The 11050-nt window shown below is 38.9% G+C and overlaps 1 annotated feature.

Moving 5' to 3' along the window:
* Positions 278-490: a silencer, noted in NCBI's record as "fragment chr14:57228911-57229123 (GRCh37/hg19 assembly coordinates)". NCBI's record gives its function as "represses an EF-1alpha promoter that drives an FKBP-Casp9 reporter gene in an ReSE screen in K562 erythroleukemia cells {active_cell/tissue: K562}" and the evidence as "EXISTENCE:reporter gene assay evidence [ECO:0000049][PMID:32094911]".

Below are 11050 nucleotides of genomic sequence, written 5' to 3'. Positions count from 1 at the left end.
AGTTTTATTCATAGAAGACCAAAATTGTATTGAATATAGGCCAGTTATAAAGGAGCTTATTCATCTTTGCATGCCAGTGAAGTTCCTAACTCAGAGGCTAACCTGTTGTACACATGAGGAGGACATTTTGGCTACAGCTCTGAAATTAGTAGATGGTTAAGCCTTAAAGTGGGGTGTTAATTGCAAAACAGGAGTTGGATATCTGAACAGCTCAGACTGTAAACCCTAGGTTTCTATAATTCTACATTGTTTGTGAGTATTATGGGGTAGTTAAATCTTCGAGAGTTTCCAAAGTGAGATTGTACAGTCTTATTTGTTCATGATATAAGTGACAAGACTCTACAAGAGCAGAGGACACAGGGAAAAGGCTCTTGGGTTTTGCACTAATCCAGACCCTGCAGCTGGGCCCCGGCCCACACTTATTGCCTCCTTCAGCACCAGGCCCTCCTCACTCCCAGGGTGTCAGACACTGGCCTTCTTTCAATTCCTTAAAGAAACTTGCCCTCACCCATCTCAGGAACTTTGTTCATGATGCATCCTTTGCCTGGAGAAAGCTGATTTCCACTTTCCTTCCTTGGCCTCATTCAGGTAATTTCTACTCCTCCTTAAGATTTCAGCCCCAAAGTCACTTCTTCAAGGAAACTTTCCCCAATCCCCAGAATGATCTAATGCCCTTTTTCTTCTGGCAGTCCCAAAGGTAGGAACTCCAATGCTCATTCCCACTATGGTACCCTCACTCTCAGTGCAGTCAATGCCCAGCAAGATGTAGGTGCTTGAGAGTTCTCAGGTGAACAACATGTAAACAAGGTGCCCATGACACAATCAGCCTGCTTCGACAAAACATCTTAGATTCTGAAAAATAGGACTAGAAAGGATCTCAAGAAATCATTTGACCCTTTCTCCAATCTTTAGAAGCAGGCGATGAATGGGTAGGATAGTATATTCCTAACCAAAAAGTTGGTTGGAGCATCTATTATGTAAACAAATCTGCAGGAGAAATTGTAATGAGGCATTCTAGCTTTAGGTTGGACATTACAGGGAAACCAGGTAGGTACATTGTCAGTTACACTGTGGCTGCTTCACTCATCTGTGGGGAGAGACCTAGAGTTTTGTTTTTTTTTTTTTTTTTTTTAGACGTAGCTTTGCTCTGTCACCAGGCTGGAGTGAGTGGCACAATCTCGGTTCACTGCAACCTCCGCCTCCTGGGTTCAAGCGATTCCCCTGCCTCAGCCTCCCAAGTACCTGGGACTACAGGCACGTGCCACCATGTCCGGCTAATTTTTTGTATTTTAGTAGAGATGGGGTTTCACCATGTTGGCCAGGATGAGCTCAATCTCCTGACCTCGTGATCCGCCCACCTCAGCCTCCCAAAGTGCTGGGATTACAGGTGTGAGCCACCGCGCCCGGCCACCTAGAGGCTTTTTATCTGTAGTGAGGCAATGTGTCCTGGACACACTCTGAGTTCCCACAAGTTCCGGTTTGTGAAGCTGTGACGCCACCGACTTGTGGAACCACAGTCTGCTGCTTCGTTCCTTATTTTGATTATGGGCTTTTGTGGTTGTTGTTTTGTTTGTTTGTTTAACAATCACTGAATCACCATAGAGGCAGAGGTAGATAGCTTTTTAAATTGTTCTACCGAGGGGAAAATGTAGAAAACTTCTGTAAAGAAAAGTAAGCAAGCAAGCATTTAGAAACATCATTTCTTGCATGCGTGATGTTTTACTAAGATGCCCTAATAATGGAGGGAGTTTTATCTTTAATATTCCAGTTCCAAATGGGTGTCATGAAAGGCCTGTGTATGTCAGCTCTGAAAACTCTCTAACCTTGAAAGGCCTATTTTCTCCTCTTGCCAATTCGTCTGTGGAGCTTATCAGGAAGAGAGGATTGCTATTGCTGTCTAGTGCCCATAATTAATCCCGGAGACAGTGAGGATTTAGGACCACTGATTGTGGCTGACTTCAAATTAAAAAGTCACTGTTAGTGTGTGAAACAGACACCATATGTTATAAACAAACCCTTTGAATGATGTAGAACGTCAAGATAATTCATATGTAAACACAGGTTACACTTAGGGTAGGGGATTTTACGTATGCCCATTCATACTTTTCAAAGATGCTATGGACACAAAAACATAGATGGCACACTGTTTTTCCTTCAGTTGGTCCCCAGAAAATGTGTATGATTTAAAATGTGAATTTAGTGCAAACCTCAAATTACTGGTTATGAAATGTGTCTTTCTCTTCACCATCAATGTGGCGAGTACAAACAAAGGCAGACACCAGTCTGATTGGTTAGTGTAATCCAATTGCCGAGTTGAGCTTCTTTTCTTGTTCCTGCCATGACTAATTTGTGGTTTCACAAAGTGTTTCTGAATGTCAGACACATCAATTATAAGAGATGGGCAAGATGCATAAGGAGAACCACAGTAAGGGGGAGAGGGCTTTAAAAATGTTTACAAGAAATTAAAGTAGTGAGGGTAGGCAGAAGTTGTCCTACAACCTTTACAAGAGCAATTCTTTTATTTAAGAAAGTGGCTGGATTATTTCCCAAGTGAATAAATTCTCTGTCCACTGCCAATCAGAACCGTTAGTGGCCTCATTTCTTCTTACTAACTGGTCCTCTCCTTTCCTTCCGTCCTCTAGATAACACACAACAATGCCACCTTCACTCTGTCGACACTGGTGCTTTAAGGGAAGGCTGGGTTAGGTGTTCACAAACATATTCTCTAATGGTGTTTATTTTCCATGGCTGGAGTGATTTCTTTTTCCCCTACTGAAACTCTATTATATACCCTTTTGTTGTCATGGCTGAAGCCTGTTGTTTCTGCAAAAACAATAATAGGCCTGAAGATTAGGGTTGCATTTTATGGGCCTAGCAGCCCAGCAGGGCATCATATTTGTATCAATCCTATAAATTCCTGGCATCAGGCCTCTTTACTCCTAGTAATTAATCTTTTTCATAAATGCTGTCATGTTTAGAGCTGTTTTATTAAGTTTCTGCCTTCTAATTTTTTCTGCGTCACTCCTTTGCCTCATCAGTATTAAAAATGAAAATAGAAAAACAACAATAGAGCAGCCAAATAGATGGAACCTACCAGTTACAGCTTTCTTTTCTTACCAAGGGAGTCTAGATGCAAAGGCTGTTCTTTTTATCTTCGTAATACCAGCCCTCATCTCCAAGCTGTGGGTATGGTTTGTTTGGGTTTTCTCCTTCTCCTTGTTGGTGTGGGTGCTCTTCAGGTGTGAGAAGCTGAAGAAGAAAGGAAGACTTGCTTCTTTTAGTCTCTCACTCTCTTGTCAAAATGCCAGGGCTAGAGAGGAAGACCTGTTCTGAAGGAAGTTTGTTCACTGCCCTTGGACTTAGCCTTTCTGATGCAGCCGACGGAACTGAATACCGTCCCTTCTGCCTCCTTTGGGATTGCAATTGCGTTGGTGTGTGGTGGTGTGAGCAGCTTTTTTCTTTGGCCCACTGACCTAATTGCAATAGAGGTGGTAAAATATTTTCATTACCGTCTCCCCCAGAATATAGAAATCTTCAAAGGGAACCCAGGAGGGAGGTTAGCCTCTTAACCCTAATTTCCCTACCACTACCTCAGCTTGGCTGTGCATCACAAAATTAGTCTTTAGTCTCCGAACATAGTGGCACCAGGATTGTTGTCGGTTTTGCTTTTAAAAATCATTTCATATTGTAAACCCGGCGATTATTTCATGCTGTTTAAACTATATTTGTAGTCTTTGATCATGCATAAGTAGACTCAGGTTAACTGCTGATAGAATGATGATATTGTTCTCCATGTTTCTTTTTCTTTTTCTTCTTCTCTGTCTTTAAGGACCCTGTACCCAAGAGCTGGCCTCAAGAAATTTCCATTACTACATTACAACATGCCTTTGTTTTTTAATTGGTTCAGGACTACCTATTTGCATGACAAGCAACATAATTCAGTTAGCAAAATCTGTTGTGTGTATGGTATGCAGAATCTATATTTATTGCATTTTATAAACTACTGATTATTTAAAAATTTGAAAGACGCTGGATTGGCAATGAATGCCAAAGAGAAGGAGAGAGTAGTAGTCATTGCTGATTATTGTTATTTGAGCACAGGCTGGTTTCTCCTCTCCTTCCTCCCCCTCCATTTTTCTTCAGGAGTTCCTTTCTATCAGCCACCCCTTTCCACACCTCGATTCCCAGCAGGAAGATACTGTACTGCCACGAGTGGGGGCTGAAAATGGGGCAAAATAGGTTTTGAATAGCAGCGTCAAATAAATTCAAGTGCCTTTCTAAATATATTTCAAGATTAAGTAATTAAGGAGTGTAAAGCACTTGGAAAAAAATAAAGTGCCATGTAAGTGCTAAGTAATAAAGAGTAATCATAACAGTAATAAAAGGGTGAACTGCTAAATCTTTCCTGCTTCTTTTCCTCTCAGGATTTTCATCATTTCAAATTTGGCTCCTGAATACAACTCTTTTATTTCTAATGAAGAACTGGGACTGAAAATAATAATAATAATAAGGATTTTTTTTTTTTTTTAAGATTTGTTTGGGGATATAGAGATCATGTTCCACCCTGCCTTTTCCTTCCATTGCTGCCCATCCAGGAAAGATTTGAGCTTCATCCTGATGGGTGGGCTACAGAGAGGAACTGGGACACAGAATTCCCTTGAAAGAAAACACTTGTCCCTGTTGGTTTCACAACTTTATCAACCCAACCATCAGCCTAATGGTGTTTGTTTATGATTTACTCGGTATTATGATTTGCATCATTTTTCAATAAACTTGAGACCACCTGCTGTGATTGTGACTATTTCCCATTATAGGCAGGGCATTTCATCCCCCAAACCCTGACTTTCCATCCCCTGGGCAAATTTTACAACAACCTGACTACCCTTGATGCCTGGGTGTTCTCTTCATGTGACAGTATTTATAAAAAATCTATGTGTATATTTCTTTAATAGGACATATATAGTTACTATCAATGTTTATTTTCCATTTTCTCCAACCTTTGGAAGAAGAGTGCATCTCCTTGTGTGCACATCCTCATTGCTGACCATCTGTAGATCTCCAGGCCTCGCACAGGTTAGGACAACAAACCCTCTGGTTTTTGTGTTAGCAGGTACACAGACTATACTCATGATATGGATGAACTAGGAATCTAATTTGAATACCTGGCCCTGGAGGGGGCAGATTTTCAGCCTGTTGTTTGGATATACAAAATAAAGGGTTAGTGATATAGATTCAAAATTGTCATTTGTTTTTCACTTTCTTTCAAACAAGGGCCTCTGCCACCTCACAGTAAATGTAGAGTTTCATAGAATTTGTGTTTGCCATACCTTTGTGTGTACTATACCACCACACAACACATAGGACCAGTGCTGAAACTTGTTTGACAATCCTTCTGGGAATGAGACAGAGAATTAGGATTTGGCAGAAACTTTGGTCAAACATCAGTAACAATAAAAACAAAACAATTGCTTGTGAAAGTGTTTTTTTTTTTCCATTTTTCTTTTTTCTTAAAGAATGATTAAGGAAATCCCTTTAGTTGAGGCATGTAATAATTTGTGTGTATACTCAGTGTAACTTGACCTCAAGGGAAGCTGCATATCATATAGAAATCAAAGAGGAAATGTTCAAAGATTCTTCAATTGGAAAATAGGAGGTGATTTTATTACTACATCATGAGCATGTAAAAGTCTCCCATAAATCCTATATCCAAAACACTGTTAGAATTGATAGATAAGATTTCATTGTCAGGAAAATTCTTTTTTCTTAAAAGAATACAATTCTTTCAAGTTTTTAGAGATGGCCCCAAAGCAATCTAGAAGTCAGGCTTCAGTCCTCACCTTAAGCACTGGTTGGCTTTTTCTTTACTTGCAGACACATTTACATGGATTCTCAGGTTGCCTTCATGTTCAGAAGTGTGGAAGACAGAGGTGATTTAAAGCAGAAGAGCAGTACCTAAAAAGGGGGACAGGAATTTAAAATTAGGTGAGGAAGTTTTGAATCTATAATAAAAGTCTAAAGGCAGATAACAAATTCTTTGTTTGAGTCTTAACTTCACTGATGAATTTTTTTTTCTTGCATGTGACTTTGGTCAAATGGCTTATTTCTTTTGGCGCTTTGTTATTTTTCACTCATCGTGTTCAAAGAGGTACTGTGAGGATTAACAATATAAAAATTTGTTTTGATATAATGTTCTAATAATTTAAAGTAGTATTTAAAAAAACTCTTAATTAAAAAATTTAATGTCTTATTTTATATATTAAAATATAGAATTGATTTATAAAGTAATTATATAGAGAGTAAATTATTATAAACATTCAGAACTGTGGAGTTGTAATTCTTGTTTTGATTTCATGAGGTCCAAATAGAATATTTTACAGAGGTGTGACAAGCAGCTCAGAAACCAAAACTGTTTTCTTCTAATATTACTGTTTGCCAACATGGTGTTTTTTATTAAAATCTGAGTTGAAGCAAATATGAATATCAAACACAAATACATTTGAAATGGGTTGGGTCAAGGAAAGAGAGCAAAAATAGTAAAATAAACTTTAAAGTTTGAAAAATATGTAACACCTTTATAAGGTTGCATAAGAAACGTGACTTGGAAAATCACTTATCGTGATAAATTACCTAAAACAAATCTTCAGACGAATGAAGGAACACATAATTTGTAACAAAGGACCTAGACATTTAAAATAATAGAAGTTACTCTCAAATTAGAGTTATCCAGTACAGGAATTCATATTTTTATAAAAGCATATAAAAATTGTCAGTAATGAAATCAGCAGATTACAGATTGAAGGGGCACGACAGTTAATGATTTAGTCCAGGCCCAATACACTTACTTCCATGTTGGGCTTCTTTCTCCTCCTTTGAATACTCTAAACCCTCAGTCCATTTTAATTAGGCCAATGGAAAGCATCATTAAACTTTGCCATTTTTGTAGGTGGGAACCTGAGCACCTTTATTTGCCTAAGAGTCCTTTTGAATTCTACCTTTGCCCAAGGCAAGGGCTCTTCCTGGCCAGGACAAACTCCTGGGTGCCTTTTCAAAGTGCTTTATTGGTATCCTGTATGGAAGGCCTAGTGGCAGAGTCTGTGAGGGGTCTTGAACAGATTGTGTAACTGTTGCACAACCAATGTGTACACGTGTGTCACTAATTTAATTTTAATTTTACTGTATGCGTTTGTATAAGATCCTGCAGCTGTCATGTGCTCATCATCTGTCACTGAACTATCACTAAGCCATGCTGGGCTAAGACAGGATTATAAACGATGAACTGCCATGTGCTCTAAATCTTCTTATTTGCCTAGCCTGGAAGGTATGCCCTGTAAAATTTGATTGGCACTGTGCTCTATGCTGGCCATTGACTTTTGAAGGCCTTTTCTATTGGTTCTTTGAGTAGCTCTCAGTGGCTGTATTGACCATCACCTGCTGATTCCCTCACTGGCCTGACCTCCAACCTCTGCTTCTCATCTTTCCTCTCATCTTTTCCCCACTTGTTTGGCTACTTGCTCAGAGGCTGTAAAACAGGCCCTGCCACTCTGGTGGCACGTGCAGTATATAGGGCATATGGCTGACTGGTTGTATGCAGAAGAGGATAACTGAAGCCAAGCAGACCCAGCACTGTTATTACAGCAGATGGGGGAAGCGTGGCATTCAATATTTAGACAGATGCCACCTCCTTATTCCACCTGTCTGGAAGTTGGACATTGTACAGAACGAATGTCTGCCTAATGATGAAGGAAACAAAGGACACATTTATGAAGCGCAGCAGAGCAGCATATTTACTGAGCATGCACAATATAATTGTTGATCATAACAATAAACGTAAACTGCTACTGGTCAGAACCACTGAAACATGCACACAGTTACAGTAGGAGCAAGGAATTGCTACTTTTTACCAGCTGCTTGGGCATCTTTAATTTCGATGACTGGGGGCATTAGATAGGACTCAGAGTTTGTGATGAATGCCTGAAAGAATTCAATTTTCTCAAGTGATGGTCCATCCTCCTTTTCTGTTAAAATCCTCAAAACAAGTGTCACTTCCTCTCTGTTTTCATGTTTCTAGGAAATTCAGTCCTTCATTTTCTTTGTGAATGGTTTCTAACCAGGCAGAAAACAAAGAAATTATCTTTGTAACTGCTACTATTTTGATGTGTTTGCCATCAAAGTGAATATATCTTTTTCCACTAAATTCAAAATGCTGATGATGCTGAACAATAGAGATTTAAAGATTTAGTTACAAATAAAAAATAATGGTGCATATTCTTTGAGAGTGTTAATTTTTTGATAGATCTTTCATTGTGGTCTTTCGTGCATTTTAATTTATAAATTGTTTTATCCCATCCTCACAGATTAATTTTTTAAATCAATACTAGTCTTATTTATGTGTAAAGATGCTTTATGTTTTATCAGTAATCAGCAGTAGGAATAGGTATGTACAATTTGTGAACTGCCCATGGATTTCTTGCAAGAGTAGAAGTTGACTAGCATGCTAAGAAGCAAAATAATCTTTGATTCAATGCACCTAGCATTTATTTATTATAACTATAGGCATAAGGTGGTAGCCTTTTTTCACAGGGAAATGTAAATGGAATTCTCCATACAAAAAAGTTGACGGCAATAATTTACAAAAAGGAATCAAAAGTTAAAATTTTTCAGAAGCACAATAGATCACCCCTGTTTTAGAATCAGCTTGCATGATTACACAAACCCCTGTTTTAAAAGATTTTCTGATATCTATTACTAGTAGCATTGATTCTCTGAAAAATTCATCATTATTATTTTTAGGAATGTCACCAATTAACAGCTCTGGTTGAATAAATAACTTAGAAGCACTTGAGATGGGGAACTTTTTCTTTTTGTCCTGTTTTCATCCAGGTCTAATTTTTTGGGAAGCTTTCTTTTTGGTTCATTTTTCTTCAGTGATTATTTCACATTAAAATCCCATCTGATGAAAGGCATATGGAAAGGAAGGGAGGTCATTCCTAATTGAACAACCCAGGACTCGTGAGGTTAATTACAGATATTAACGCTGCTGTTCTTCAGCTTCTTGCCCTCAAGAAGCCTCTAGCTTCCAAATGACCTGGCTCCAACAAAGAGACTCTCTTTAGCCCATTAACTAATTGATAAAAATGTGAGTGTTTAGAATGAGTCTAATTAAATCACCGAGCCTTACAATTACTAGTCCATTTGGTAGCTGTTGGGAGATGGGTAACCTCAGCTGGCATTGTAGAGGAATAAAAGATAAAAATAAAAGGGAGCTTAACCAAGATCATTTTGAAAGCTGTTCATTTGAAGACAAAGTACATATTTGCCTGAAATGTCTACATTTACTACTTCAAATGCATTCCCTTTCTAGGGTAGCACAATCTCTGAAAAAGAAAATAACGTCTTTTTTCTTCTTCTTTAAGAGCAGGCATGCTCCACTTTGTCTAATAAAGTTACATGAGTGGCTGGGGAATTTTTTCTGCGTTAGCATTAAGCTAAATTCCTTTAGAGCTGGGAACACTGAAGTTTGTCCATTGAGCTTTTGCTTAAAGGCTGGCAAATGTCTCAAATAGTAGACATTAAAAAACCCAGAGTGGGCTCTCAGGACTTTTTACTTTGTCCCGAGTCTGTTCTAACTCACTGTTTCTGCTGCAGCCCCGATCCATGACCTACCTTCCTTTCTTCCTCTCTCTCTTTCTTTCTTTCTTTCTTTCTCTCTCTCTCTCTCTCTCTCTTTCTTTCTTTTGAGACAGAATCTCGGCGTGTCACCCAGGCTGGAGTGCAGTGGCACGATCTTGGCTCACTGCAAGCTCTGCCTCCTGTGTTCACCCCATTCTCCTGCCTCAGCCTCCCTAGTAGCTGGGACTACAGGTGCCCGCCACCACGCCAGGCTATTTTTTTTTTTTTTTGTATTTTTTAGTAAAGACAGGTTTCACCGTGTTAACCAGGATGGTCTCCATCTCCTGACCTCGTGATCCTCCCGCCTTGGCCTCCCAAAGTGCTGAGATTACAGGCACATGACGTTTCTTAAAGGCTGGAGCTTGTCTGGGCCCTGGGTGGAGGGATGAGAACCACTGACTCAACAGTGGCAGGTCCAGCAAAGCATGCACAATGAGTCAGCCACCAGCCCAGGTGGTGACTTTTGTCCCCAATTAAGAGACATTCGTAGGCTCCTAAATAGGGGATAACACAAGGATAATATGATACTTCTCACTGAAGTCTTAAAAGCAATGTATTAATCAAAGAGCCAAGGAATTTTAAAAGGGGGAAATTTAATTTGTAAAGATCTATTGAATACTTCTCTCCATTTATTCAAAAAAAAGTACTCTATAGTCAAAAAGCTAATTTATCCTGACTTATAAGCTAATCTGGCTGACATCAGTCCCTGTTGATATGGGTAATATTTTTGACGGGGGAGAAATTGCATGAGAATCCTCTGTTTTCTATAGTATCTTTGTAGTAGGTGGTCATAAAAATAATACTGCGGCTTCTTGAATGAGTACACCTGTACTTAATCAGGTGTCAGTACCTTCACTATTAGCTCTGAGAGATAGTTATTTGTTACTGTTGGAAGCATTCAGATAGTGACTAAGCAACAGTTATTTTCAAACTTTTTGTGATATTGAAAGAATGAATATAAATATGAGCATATGTCAATCCTTCCTAGGCACATATTTATTGCCAGAGGCATTAATATTGATAAACAATGGGTCCATCCACTCTACATTAATATAAATCCAAGCAAAAAAGTGTTAAAATCACATTTCACTTTTTTGTCATTTACTCCTAGTCTCTAAGAGGAGGTGTTTTCTTTCTGATTATCCTGTCATTCAACTCATGCTAATTAGTGAGTGTAACAGAACTTTAGCAGACAGTTTGGTTGCAGGTGTATTCAGACCAAGGGAGATTTAATTACTTGCTAATTGCCTGGTGTCCAAGGTAACATAATATCATAGTTGCAAATGCTATGGTATTAATCCATCTTAAAGAAGTGCAACGTGGCTCAGCCTCCACATTCAGAGACTCCTGGAGGACGCTGTTGGCATTGCTACAAGTGCAT

This window comes from Homo sapiens, chromosome 14 (genome assembly GCF_000001405.40).
Source record: "Homo sapiens chromosome 14, GRCh38.p14 Primary Assembly".
Classification (NCBI taxonomy): domain Eukaryota; kingdom Metazoa; phylum Chordata; class Mammalia; order Primates; family Hominidae; genus Homo; species Homo sapiens.
Note: the sequence above shows the minus strand (reverse complement) of the source record. Positions and strands in the feature narration are given on the sequence as shown.